The sequence below is a fragment of the Homo sapiens genome, chromosome 1, assembly GCF_000001405.40.
Source record: "Homo sapiens chromosome 1, GRCh38.p14 Primary Assembly".
Lineage (NCBI taxonomy): Eukaryota > Metazoa > Chordata > Mammalia > Primates > Hominidae > Homo > Homo sapiens.
In genome coordinates this window covers 97,221,614-97,236,320 of record NC_000001.11, presented here as the reverse complement: position 1 = coordinate 97,236,320, position 14,707 = coordinate 97,221,614, and the positions used below count along the sequence as shown (strand labels likewise).

At 34.9% G+C, this 14,707-nt stretch overlaps 1 protein-coding gene and 1 long non-coding RNA gene across 7 annotated transcripts in view; one reads left to right on the top strand and one right to left on the bottom strand.

Moving 5' to 3' along the window:
* The window catches only part of DPYD (dihydropyrimidine dehydrogenase), an 843,317-nt gene that overhangs the window by 684,739 nt on the left and 143,871 nt on the right, over nt 1–14,707 (top strand). For all 6 annotated transcript variants that reach the window (XM_047448077.1, XM_017000507.2, XM_005270562.3 and 3 more), the window contains one exon: nt 1,327–1,469. In XM_047448077.1, coding sequence (XP_047304033.1) covers nt 1,327–1,469 — 143 coding nt within the window. The remainder of the gene's footprint in view (nt 1–1,326; nt 1,470–14,707) is intronic.
* DPYD-AS1 (DPYD antisense RNA 1) overlaps nt 1–14,707 on the bottom strand; it is a 227,033-nt gene that overhangs the window by 86,635 nt on the left and 125,691 nt on the right. The gene's annotated exons all lie outside the window — the stretch shown is intronic.

Sequence of the window (14,707 nt, the reverse complement as noted above, 5' to 3'; positions counted from 1 at the left end):
CATATTGATATTGCTGGTGACTAGTGGTGGTGGAGGTGATGACAAAGAACTCACCACGTGAGGCTGAACCAGTTATTTGTTTATGTTGTTTGTGAAGCCCTGGTTTAAGGCAGTGTCAAATTCTTGCATAAGTTGAACTGCCTTTAGTTCAGAAAATGCTTAAAGGACCCCTGACTTATAAGGGAACACCAGGAATATCAAATTATATTCCTTTATTATGAAAGCATTAATGTACTCTGGGATGTTTAACATTTGAGAATTCAAAGTAGCTTTAGTACAATATACTCATTTTTAAAATAGCCCCAAAGTATTCTTTCTATCCATACAATTTTTATTACTATTAGGGAATAATATACTGGTAATGTCTGGCTAATTAAATATTAAAAAATTAAATTCATACACTCTAATTACTGGATTCTAGTAAATTCTCTTTAACTTGATTAAAACTTTCTAATATGTGAAAAATTGGATTAGACTCCCTATTTTTTTTCAAATTGTGGGAAGTACATATAAAAAGCAACATGGAATCTGTAAGTTCATCAGCACCTTGCCTTTTTTTACAGAGTCTATGTTCGCAACATCTGCTTTGTACTCTAAAGAAACATAACATAGCTGTATGTCTACTGATGTACTATATGGGATTGTTTTTCTTTTCAAAATCTGCTGTTCCTTGTTTTTTGTTTGTTTGTTTGTTTTTGAGACAGAGTCTCACTCTGTCACCCAGGCTGGAGTGCAATGGTGTGATCTCGGCTCACTGCAACCTCCGCCTCGTGGATTCAAGCAGTTTTCCTGCCTCAGCCTCCCAAGTAGCTGGGATTACAGGAGCCTGCCACCACGCCTGGTTAATGTTTATTTTTGTATTTTTAGTAGCCATGGGATTTCACCATGTTGGCCAGGCTAGTCTCAAACTCCTGACCTCAGGTGATCCACCCACCTCGGCCTCCCAAAGTGCTAGGATTACAGGCGTGAGCCACTGATGCTCAAATATTCTATGCAATCTTTTACACATTACTGTATATCCAATTGTAATATGCATGTAATATGTGTGCACAGAGAATTCTGTGTTTGCTATACCTACTTGTATAACATGTCTAAATTCAATATTGGTATCAAAGTCCTTAAAATAAATAAACATCCATTAACAAATTAACATGCTTTAAAACATAACATTTATACACTACATATGTATATACATCTTAAACAGAGATAAAGTAATTTGAAATTTGTCCAGTGACGCTGTCATCACATCATAGTAATAGAAGTAATATAAGACAGTATACTCAAGTGGTCAGTGTGCTAACCATTGATTATTCTGATTTTGTGTAGGGACAGCAATCAGACCTATTGCTTTGAGAGCTGTGACCTCCATTGCTCGTGCTCTGCCTGGATTTCCCATTTTGGCTACTGGTGGAATTGACTCTGCTGAAAGTGGTCTTCAGTTTCTCCATAGTGGTGCTTCCGTCCTCCAGGTAGTCATTGTGTTTGTCTGTCCCTTTTAAAAATCTCCATCTCACAAATGCAATGTAAGTTATGTGACAAAAAAAAAATAGATTCGTTTTTGGGCCTCTTGAAAAGGAGGCCATTTGGGATCAAAATGGCAGCATGTATTAAGTTCCTCTGACAAGTTATGAAGAGACCTGAGGTTTATTTCCTGTCCTGTTGAGGGCTTACGAACCCACTGTCTTTTCTTAATACATTTATTCACCCATGTGATCCTGAAATAAATAAGATCAGGTACCAAAATGAGTACTGTCCTCCTGGAAAAACAATACATGAGGAAATCTGAGTAAAAGTAAAATCTCAATTGAAAAACAAAATGAAATCAAGGGTATGAAAATCTATGTCATTACCAAATTTGATCCTGAGATTCCTGGCAGCCAAAGAAATAAATTATTAGCTTTATAACTTTTAAAATATTAAAATAAATTGATTGTTCAGCTTCTTGTGGTACAAAGCTGAGGGAACTTCTTTCTTCCCTTGTCCTCTTAAAGGGATGCTGTGAGATGTAGTGAATTGTACTCTTAATAATACCCCTAAAATAATAAAAATTAGAACATTAAAAAGTATTCATATACTTTTTAAAAATAATGTTGCTCAACATGGGCTTAGTACTGTCAGCACATTTTAGCATAAGAATTTCTCATTCAGGTTTTGTAGTCTGAATTGACCTAGGGACCAAGCTTTTTATATGACTAGACTGTGAACTGTGAACTCTCTGGTAATACTCCATTAATAATGACTTCTCACTACTTAGCATTGATGGTAATTGGAAAGCAGAAAGTTTGGCATCACATATTCTCTGGCAAAAGGGTAGAGTGTAAATAGTTCATGTTGCTAACTTGACAATCAGAATTAACATTGTTCTATGAAATACCTACAATCTATGGTGGAAATAATATGTATTAGAAAGCTAATGGAGGCAGACTTCTGCTTCCAAGAAGATGGAATAGATTTACTTTTCTCTGTGCCTCCCACTGTATACAGCTAAAAACCCTTATATGTAAAACTGATGATATAAGAAGACTGAAAGGTGAAGAGAAGGCAGATTGGCTAGGGATCTCAAGACCCGAGAAACAACACAGTGGTGAGTTTCCTGCGATTTTTTTCCTCACATATCTCATCTCACACTTGGAGCCAAAGAAGCTCAACAGCCCAGAAACAACAATAGGCACAGATGAAAAGCCTGCTCTCTCTAGCCAAAGAACCAGGAAAGGGGCAGTCTAGCAAGAGAGAGAACTTTTAGACATAACTTCCCTGCTCCACCCAACACCACGGATAAATATTCCATCCCTACACCCATCCATGCAAGCAAAGGACAAGTAGGGATCTTAGACGTCCACCCTCACCAAGCAGTCTCACATCCCCACTGGGCAAAAATGAGCCCTCACCCCCATCCCATATCAGAAGCCTGGACTTCTACCCTCACCTGAGAGTAATGAGGTGTCCGTCCTCCCCCCTTCTGCAGTAGTAGTAGAGGAGGTCTAGTGCAGAGTCAGGACCTTCATCATCACCGTGTGGTAATAAGGCCACTCTCCTTTCCTCCTTCTTATGGTGTCAGTGAAGGCCAAGTAGGGAGCAGCAACAAGGCGTGCCTGCATCTCTTAGCCAGGGATGTGTCAGTGCAGGCTTACTGGAGAGCCAGAATTCTCACCTCCTCCCAGCAGTAACCAGGAGCCATGCCCCTCGGGTGTCCAAGAAAGCCAAGTAAGATACCTGGGCTTCTATCTGGCATTAAGGAGGTGGCATTCTCCACTTCCCCTGCCAGACTGACACCAAGGAAAGCTAGCAGAAACAAAGTTTAAATAAAATCAAGAGTCTCTTAATATTATACCAAAATTGTCAAGATTTCAATTAAAAATTACTCATGATACCAAGACCCAGGAAAACCTCAGGCTGGATCATAAAAAAGAATTGATAGATGCCCACATTAACATGACAGAGATACTATAATTATCTGTCAGATATTTTAAGCCTCCATTATAAAATTGCATTAACAAGCAACTACAAGTATGATTGAAACAAATGAAACAACAGAAAGTCTCATCAAAGAAATAGAAGATATAAAGATGAAAATTTTGGACTTAAAAATGCAATCACTTAAATATAAAACTCAGCTGATGTGCTCAATAGTAAAATAAGAGAACAGAAGAAAAAATCAGTGAACTAGAAGATAGAGCAATAGAAATTGGCAATAGAAATTGGCCAATATGAAAAACAGAGAGAAAAAAAGACTGAAGAAAAGAATGAAAACAGCCCTCAGGGAACTGTGGGACTATAACAAAAGATGTAACACTAATGTCCTCAGAGTCCCAGAGGAGAGGTGAAAAAGGCAGGAATGGAAAAAAAATAATGGCTAAAAATATTCCAATTTTTGCAAAAGACATAAACCTGTAGATTCAAGAGGTCAAGGTAGACTTCCAAAGAGGGCAGCTTCAAAGAAATCCATACCAAAATCCATCATATTCAAATTTCTGAAAACTGAAGAAAAAGATAAAACCTCGATAACAGCAAGAGGAAGATGACACCTTACTTATTGGGGACAAACAATTCTAATAACAGGGGATTTCTCATCACAAGCCATGGAGTCTGGAAGAAAGTGGGACATTTTTCAAATGCTAAAACAAGAACTGTCAGCTCAAAATCCTGTATCCTTCAGAAATGAGCCAGAAATCAAGACATTCTCGGCTGAAGAAAAACTAAGAGAATGTATTGCCAGGAATCCTTAACCAAAAGAATGGCTAAAGAAAGCTTTTTCAGAAGAAAGAAAATGATAAAAGAAGGCACCTTAGGATATCAAGAAGAAAGGAAGAATATGGAGCAGTGTCTTCAAAAAGAATCTGGAAGATAACAGTATCCAGGCTTGAGTATCACCTGAATTTATTTTCATCCACATGTAGAAATACCTGAGCTGAAGGATACAATGGAGTTATGAGTGGGTTTCAGAAGAGACTCTTGCTCATTGTCAGATGTGACCATGGGCAAGTCACACATGGAAGTAAAGATTATTGACTGTCTACCATGTGCTGGTAGTAATTGCTGCTACATATAGTATTTCCACAACCTACTTGAGAGTGAAATTTTTAAATATTTTTTTTTATTGACATCAACTAAGGCTTGGAGGATAAAAGTGATTGATATGGCTTGGCTCTGTGTGAGATTACAATTCAAATCTCACCTTGAATTGTAATAATCCCCATATGTTGTGGGAGGGACCTGGTGGGAGGTAGTTAAATCATGGGGGCAGGTCTTTCCTGTGCTTTCCTGACAGTGAGTAAGTCTCACTAGATCTGGTGGTTTTATAAAGGGGAGTTCCCCTGCACATGCTCTCTTGCCTGCCGCCATGTAAGACGAGACTTTGCTCACCATTTGCCTTCCACATGATTGTGAGGCTTCCCCAGCCATGTGGAACTGTGAGTCAATTAGACCTCTTTCCTTTATAAATTACCCAGTCTTAGGTGTGTCTTTAATAGCAGTCACATGACTAGCAATGGAGCCAGAATTCCCATCTAGAGTTTCACAGCCACAAAGCAAATACTCTTCCAACTGGGCATATTGCCTGTCTTCCATCACAGGACCTGTAAGACGGGAATATTAGTAATACGCAAGTCTTCCATGCCCACTCAAAGCTTACATGTTCAGGCTATAGCTTACCTCTTAGAGTCAAGTTTCTATGAAGAGAAGAAAAGTGAAATCATAGAAAACTAAACGAGAGTTATGTGTCCTGGGTGTAGATGTGTGCTCAGGGTGCAGATCCTAGTATGTAAATATACATAGAGTACTATGTGTCCTCATAGAAATGAATGGTGAAATAATTATTCAAATGTCAGTTTCTACTTAGGCTCCTCTTAGATGGAAAATCAGAAACTCACTGACTATGCACATGAAGCCTATTGTATTCTGGACATGAAAGGACCCTGGAACTGGAACTGCAAGAACCAGTGGGACAGTCCTGGGGCAAGACCTTTGCCATCTCTCTTTTGTGAGCCATGTGATTTCTTCTTCAGAAGAAACTAAATTTCTGTCCACTCTTGTTCTCTCCATGGCTTACTCTTGCCTCCTCTGAACTTCTATCACATGGCTGTCATGACCCTTAGACCCACGCCACATTGCAGCCTTTTAGCTCTCATTTCTCCATGAAATGTCCCAATAGCTTACTGTCTATTGGCTTGGATTTCTTTTTTTAAACTTTTATTTTAAGTTCAGGGTACGTGTGCAGGTTTGCTACATAGGTAAACTTTTTTCATGTGGTTTGTTATAGAGATTATTTTATCACCCAAGTATTAAGCCTAGTACTCATTATTTTTCTTGATCCTCTCCCTCCTCCCATCCTTCACCCTCTCATAGGCCCCAGTGTGTGTCATTCCCCTCTATGTGTTCATGTGTTCTCATAATTTAGTTTCCACTTCTAAGTGAGAACATGCAGTATTTGGTTGTCCGTTCCTGTATTACCTTGCTAAGGATAATGGCCTCCAGCTCCCTCCAGGTCCCTGCAAATGACATGATCTCATTCCTTTTTATGGCTGAATAGTATTCCATGGTGTACATGTACCACATTTTCTTTATCCAGTCTATCATTGATGGGAATTTAGGTTGATTCCATGTCTTTGCTATTGTGAATAGTGCTGCAGTGAACATACATATGCATGTGTCTTTATAATGGGATGATTTATATTCCTTTGTGTACAGCTCAGACTGCTAAGAGAGGAAATCTGTTTGCCTAAATTTATCTTTTTATGCCAGGCCCCATCATAAGCTATTGGTTACCCCATGTATTGACTGCTTGGTGTGTAACAGAAATATAGTAAATTTTGGTTGAATGAGTTTGTTAAATGAATGTGCTTGGTTATGGGTTTTTTGTTTTGTTTTGTTTTTACCAGAATTGTGAAGAGGGGATACAAGGATTCACATGGTATAAAAGAAATCATTATCTCTTTAGCTCTAGCTGGGAATAGCCCAGAGACTTTCTGGCTATTAAAATATTGGTTCCCAAATGATTTTGTTAAAAATGTAAAGTTTCACACATAGGTTTTTACTTCAGAAATGAAGAGGAAATCAAGACAATTTCAGCTAAAAAATACCTAGGAGAATTTATTGCCCAGAGAGCTGGCAATCTAATCTGTAGAAATTTAAAGATTATTTTTCAGCTCTGCCATTAGCTTGAGTCAGATTTTTAACTCAGCCAGAACATGTTTTTTTAACCAATATTAGCTAAAGTATGAATTAAAATCAGTATATATATATATATATATATATATATATATATATATATATATACTTAGGATGGTCATAAGGTGGGAAATATTTGAATTTATAATTTTAGTTTGGTAGTTCAGTGGAGGGTAGAGAATATATATTTCCATCTTTCTTCCATTCTAACTGAATTTCACTTCATTCCACTCCCTAATCTTGGGTTAACCTAACCTTTCGTTCAGTATAGTTTTAAGCTGTTGAATATTATTAGAGAAATTAATGTAACTCTGCAATTGGGCTTACTCCAAATACATAGTGTTTAATGTCTGCTGGGGCTTGGGTACTAGTCAGTATTTCTTTTTATTCGTCTTTTTTTTTTTTTACTTCCCATCAAATTCTTTTTTTTTTTTCTTTTTTTTTTTTTTTTGAGAAGGAGTCTCGCACTGTTGCCCAGGCTGGAGTGCAGTGACGCAATCTCAGCTCACAGCAAGCTCCGCCTCCCGGGTTCACACCATTCTCCTGCCTCAGCCTCCCAAGTAGCTGGGACCACAGGTGCCCGCCACCATGCCCGGCTAATTTTTTTGTGTGTGTATTTTTAGTAGAGACAGGGTTTCACTATGTTAGCCAGGATGGTCTCAATCTCCTGACCTCGTGATCCGCCCACCTCGGCCTCCCAAAGTGCTGGGATTACAGACAGGCATGAGCCACCGCACCCAGCCTCAAATTCTTTCTTGCAGTTAGTTCGAATCTTTTTCATACAGCTCAAAGCCCTTAGCCTCTTGATCATCATCCTCCCATTTCTCTCATATCATCCTTTCATTGCCTCTCATTGCCCAACCGAATTCTGTTCTCTGGTTTTACAATATTTATTAAATCCACCTTTCTAATGATTTCTATTCACAAGTGAAATGTGTACCAACAAAATGAATTCTTTATAGCAGGTATAACCAGACAAATGAAATTGATTTAAATATCTAGGTTATGGTGCTGATACACTAGAGTATAGAAATAGAAGTCCTGTAATGGGTGTAGAAATAGTAATATAAATAAATATTTTGATTCTGATTTTTCTCATACACTATTCATCATGTGTATAGACTATGTAGATAAGTGAGTGCCCTACTAAAATTAAGATTTACACTCAAATTAGTAATTTCAAAATCTTATGTAATTAAGTGAGTTCACTGCTAAAATAAAGATTTACACTCAAATTAGTAATTTCAAAATCTGTTCCAAATGAATCTATGTTTGTAAATTAAGCCATATGACTGACATTAAGAAGAGTAATGACATTTCAAGAATGGAAAGCTAATTTTTTTCATAAGTTGCATAAGTGTGATAGCGCATACCTTCTTTATTGCTTTATATGCATCACAGAGAATAATTCATTCATTCATTTTTTAATAAATATGTATTGAGACCCTACTATATATTCTTAGCATTGTTGTAGAAATTTAGAGTATTTCTGTGAATTAAAAAAAAAAACAACTAAAGTCTGTTACCTTATTGGGCTTACATTCTTGTGAGCAGAGACAGAAAAATATACAATAAATGTTAAATGTAAGTGTATTATATTTAACATAAGATAAGTGCTGTGGGAAAAAAACAGACTTCATTGTAAAGATAATATTTTTATTAAAAAATGATGGTTGTAAATCCTAGAAAATTTTTATTGAAGAAAAAACCTAGGTTACAGCATCATTTGCTTAAATTTTTGCTAATTGAGGAATTAAATGTAAGTTCACAAAATATTGTATATCACCTCACAGTTTATTTTTATTTATTTATTTTCATATGTATAATCAAACTGAACCTTATTATCACTTGATATACCAAAATACATTTTGCATCTCAACATACTTCGGTATATAGTGCTACCTTCAGTGGTCACATATTATCCCATATTATAAATGCACTGAAATTTATTTATAAAATCCATTATATGGGTTCTTCTTCACTACTAGTTTAAGCAGTGCTGAGAAAACCAAATTGCATTTATCTCTAATTATTTTATAATATATTTTAGTATAATGTAATTGATCAGTAAAGGGCATATACTTTTTTTAAACTTCTTAAAATTTTTGTGGGTACATAGTAGGTGTACATATTTATAGGTTATGTGAGCTATTTTAATATAAGCATGCAATGCATAGTAATCACATCAGCTAAATAGGGTCCACCTCACAGTTGATAAACTGAAATGTCTCTTAGGGTTTCAGATTACATTTTATTGGGCAATTATTGCTTTTCTTTCTTTCTTTTTTCTTTCTTTCTTTTTTTTTTTTTTTTTTTTTTTTTTGAGATAGAGTCTCACTCTGTTGCCAGGCTGGAGCGCAGTGGCCGTGGCACGATCTCGGCTCACTGCAATCTCCACCTCCCAGATTCAAGCCATTTTCCTGCCTCAGCCTCCCGAGTAGAGCTGGGATTACAAGTGCGTGCCACCACATCCAGCTAATTTTTGTATTTTTTGTAAAGACGGGGTTTCAACATGTTGGCCAGGATGGTCTCGATCTTCTGACCTTGTGATCCACCCACTCAGCCTCCCAAAAGACTGGGATTAAAGGAGTGAGCCACCATGCCCAGCCCAATTATTGCTTTTCATAGCAAAATTTGCTTCAAAATTTTTGAGCGAATTTTCTTGGAATGTATCATTTCTCCGTGGCACTGTTTATTTCTATGATCTTATTCTGTAACATGCTTTGACAAGATGTCAACATTTCAATGGTAAATCATCCAATCATCTTACCTTAAAAAACTCTTCAGTGATTTTTTTTATGAAAAATGCCAGTGGAATGTTTGTAGGGATTCTATTGAATATTTAGATTGCTTTGGATAGTATGGATATTTTAACACTATTGATTCTTCCAGTCCTTGAACATAGGGTATCTTATCACTTACTTGTGCTTTCTTCAATTTCTTTAATTCATGTTTTATAATTTTCAGTATACAGGTCTTTCACCTCCTTGGTTAAATTTATCGCTAAGTGTTTATTTTTATGCTACTGTAAGTGAGATTAACTCTTTGATTTCTTTTTTGGATAATTTTTTGTTAATTTATAGAAACATCACTAATTTTTGCATGTGAATTTTGTATCCTGCAGCTTTATTGAATACATTTATTCTAACTGTTCTGTTTTTTGGTGGAGGCTTCCGAGTTTCCTACATATAATATGGTATCTACAGAGTCTATTTAACTTTTTCTTTCTGATTTGGGTGCTTTTATTTCTTTTTCTTCCTAATTAATCTGGCTAGGGCTTCCAGTACTATGTGGAGTAAAAATGAGGAGAGTGGGCATCCTTGTCTTGTTCTTAATATTAGAAGAAAAGCTTTCAACTTTTCACTATTGACTGTGATGTTAGCTGCATGCTTGTGATATATGGCCTTTACTGTACTGAAGTACATTCCCTGTATATCTAATTTTTTGAGAGTTTTTATTAAGAAAGATGTTCAATTTTGTCGGATGATTTTTCTGCATCTATTAAGATTATCGTATGGTTTTTGTGATTCATTCTCTTAATGTGTTGTTATATTTATTGGTTTGCATAGGTTTAATCATTCTCACATCTCTAAGATGACTGCTATTTGATCATGGTGAATGATTCTTTTAATGTGCTGTTGAATTCAGTTTGTTATTACTTTGGTGAAGATTTTTGCAACCATGTTTATCAGAGATACGGCCTATACTTTTTTTCCTATAGTACCCTTTTCTGGGTTTGGCTTCAGCGTAATACTGGGCTCAGCTGAAACTCAAACTCAAAATGAATTAAAGACTTAAACATAAGACCTGAAATCATAAAACTCCTGGAAGAAAACACAGGGGAAAAGCTCCTAGACATTGGCCTTGGCTATGATTGTTTGAATAGGACATCAAAGGACATGCAACAAAAGAAAAATAAACAAGTAGGACTACATCAAACTGAAAACTTCTATACAAAAAAGGAAGCAATCAACAAGATGAAAAGACTTCCTATGGATTTGGAAAAATATTTTCAAACCATATGTCTTTTAAGGGGTTAATATTTAAAATATATAAGGAGCTCTCACAATTCAAAAGCAAAAAAAAAAAAAAAACAACCTGATTTCAAAATTTTTTACTCAGGATCTTTGAAGAAAAAAAATGTGAAATCATAGAAAAATGAATGAGAGTTATGTGTCTTGAGTGTAGACGTTAATATTCTTTGAATAAAGAACCCGAGTAAATATCTTTGAGTAAAGAACCTGAGTAAATAATGGACCAAAGGAGACATAAATGGCACAGATATTTGAATAGATGCTTAACATCACTGATCTTCAGGAAAATGCAAATCAAAACTACAATGAGATATTATCTTACACCTGTTAGAATAACTATTATCAAACAAGATAAAAATAGCAAATGTTGATGAGGGTGTAAAGAAAGGGCAACTTTTGTTCATTGTTGGGGAAAATGTAAATTGGTGCAGCCATTATGGAAAACAATATGGAGGTTCCTCAAAAAATTAAAAACAGAACTACGATGTGACCTAGCGATCCTTCTTCTGGGTAAATCCCCAAAGGAAATGAAATCAGCACTACATATAGATAGATGATAGACAGATAGATAGATAGATAGATAGATAGATAGATAGATAGATAGATAGATAGATAGACAGACAGACAGATAGTTAGATAGATCTGTACTCCCATATTCTGTGCAGTATTATTCACAATAGCCAAGATATGGAAGCAACCTTAAGTGTCTATCAATAGATGAATGATGAAGAAATTGCAGCATATATACGCAATGGAGTTTTGTTCAGCTGTAAAAAAGATCCTGCCATTTGTGTCAAAATAAATGAACCTAGAGAATACTATGCCAAATGAAATAAGCCAAACACAGAAAGGAAAATGTTGTATGATCTCTCTTATATGTGGAATCTAAAAAAAAAAAAAGTTGACTACTTAGAGAGTAGAACTGTAGTTATCATATGTGGGTGCATGAAGTAGGAAGGTTACAAAGAGATGCAGTTCAAGGATACAAAATTGCAGTCATGTCAGATGAGTAAGTCTGGAGATCTAAAGCACAGCACAAGTAATCTAGTTAATAATATTGTATTTTATACTAGATATTTGCTAAGAGAGTAGATTTTAGACACTCTTACCACCAGAAAAAAAATGTTGCTGTGTAAAATGAGAGATGTGTTAATTGGCTTGACTGTAGTGATCATTTGAGTGTGTATATGTATAACAAAACATCATGCAGTACACTTAAATCTGTATAATTTTAAAATGGATAAAATGCTTCAATGAATCCTGAATATAAAAACTAAGGAATTAGCTAGAGAGTAATCTGGGTACTCCAGATCATTTTCCTAGTACAACTTTGGAGTGAAAATGACTATTACAACAGAACCAGATGTAACACCGTGGCCTAGAAATAAGATTCAAAACCGATTACAGGCTTGCCTTCCTGGGTAAATGCTCTTATAAGTTCTTCAGTCAACCCAACTGACTTCTAATTTATTTAAGTGAACTTCAGTGTCTTTGAAATCCCTGATTTTTTAATCTTATTTGACAGGATTTCATTAGTTAGAATATGCAAATTAGAAATATGAAAAGGACAGATGAAAATTATCAGTAAATTTCAGGTACTGATATTTATAAAAACCTTCCTGTTAAATTATATTCTCAAATTATTCATAAACTCTTGAGGTCTTGAAATCTTTTTGAGGGCTACTCTGAAAAAAAGAAGTTTGCTTCTGACTGCCAATTATTTCTTCATGAAGAGAAAAATAAATAAATAACTAGTAATTCACCTTCAAAACAGTTTGAAGGGAGAACTTTAATAAATTAACATTGGCTTTTTTAAGTTTTGATTTCACTGTTAGTCCCAGATCTTATCTTCCCAATGAGTCCTGTATCTTCTTTCTAGTATTCAAGTACTAGACTATAATTTCTGTTGAAAAACTATTTAGGGATTTGTATTACAACCAAAGCTCAGACTGAGTCAGTTGCTTTCAGTGATAGGTTTCATTATAAAATGTTCACCTTCCTCTATAGATAAAAAATATACATACTATATGACTTTTTTCACTGAATGACTGTAGGTTTCTATAATTTAATTTAATTTAATGATACTGCCATTACAATTCATTACCTTAAGGACTTTGATTCAGAAAGTCAAAACTTATCAGTTAATTCACAAACAATTATGACCTGTGCCTTCATTGAGATTGTATGGATGTGTGTGTGTTTGTGTGTGTGTGTGTGTGTGTGTGTGTGTGTTTAATTCTATCTTTTCTGCGTGGGTTTGTCACTAAAGTTAATAGAAAATCCTGAAATATAACGGAAAGATGAAGCATAGTGGGCATTTGCTGTGGAAAGTCATGGTCACATGACGGCCACTCGCTGAACTCAGATAACCAAATCAATTTTTAACAATAATCAAAGCTGCTCTGATGGAGCTAGTTCAAGCTAAATGGAATTTTTTAATGTGATCAGGAAATGTATTATTTTATTAAAATTAGAGAAAAAGAAGTAATTGAAGCAGCACGATGACACTGTTTCCACTTGAGTGCAGATGGATGCATTACCCATATTATCTCTTGGTCATAATATACACAGAGGCTTCATTGCTTCAACTTTACTGACGGGTGTCTTTAGGTGATAAAAATTTTGCACCCTATATTACAAATTTTCATTGGGTAGGTGGAAAATATTTATTCAATAACTTCTAATTTTTTATTTCATCATCATTCAGTTTCAGGCCAGAGGGTAACAAATGTAGTAAAAATACTTGACAGCATTCAAAATTATTTTAAATGGAATCAGAACTATTTCACATAACTGGTTAAAAGAGAAATATTTTTTCTTTCCATTATGCAATTTCTTGTGTCCTGGCTTTAATGAATGTTTCACTTACAACTTTAAGAATAATATGTAAGTAGATATTTTTAAAAATGGAAACTCAATATTCTCACAATAATATATAAGAAAAAAATGCTTTTAGTTTATCCATTCAATGATGTTCTAATTGCTGTGTCAGTTATCACATTATTTTAAATTACTTTAATGAAAGGTTATTTTCAAGAGGTTTTCATATTTAAAAAGCATCTTGATTCTAGTGCAACAAATGTTGTTTATAAGCAAAGAGAATAAATTAAATGGAAACTTATTACGTCTTTGAGTGACTACACATTCTCCACTTGATAGAAAGATTAACATCTAGATTCAAGAGAAATTAATTGAAACTCAAGCTAATATTTTTGAAAGACAGTTTTACTATAGAAAAAAATAATAGCATTGCACAATGACTATTTCAAGTTAGAGAATAATCATGAGTTAGCTAAGATGTTTGCAGGCGTATAGCTACAGAAAATTCCTCACCTTATATAAATGTCCTTGCCTAAATTTTTTCTTGTCCCTGACAAATCCTTTCTACTGTCCGTTCCTATTTGAATTGTATGCAGAGATGTGACTAATTAACGGTCTGACTTCTTTTTCAAAGAGTCTTCATATGCTTGACCAAAGTCTTAAACTACTATTTTTATTCTTCATTTTGAAAGAAAATCTCAGTTGTTTAGATATTCTTATTTCACATATTACTTTCTAAACATTGTATATCTTTGTTCCTTTCCTCTATTTCTGGTTTATCAGTGTCACTTGAAATGAGTTGTGATTGGATGGGTAACTGATTTTTTAATAACTGTGTCTTGTTCATCCAAATGACTATTAGAAATAGTTATTTGGGGAGGTAATGTAGTAACTACTCTTTATATATTGGGAATGGATTTCATTCCCATTTTAAAAAGCTAAAGAGAGCCAAGATGAATGAACAAAGTTGGTTGTTGAGTGAATTAGGTATCCAAAGTCATGAGTCTTTTTTCTGTTAGTTCATAAATTGATTTTAATTACCAGTTTACAGAGAAATGTTCCAAAATTGTTCTGAGTAGTGCGAACATCTTCCCAGGTGATTATTTTGAAAAGACCACTTCATTTTGATGTATACACTTTGATATTTGTTTTAAAATTTTTTCAATGTTTTATAGACTTTGGTACTA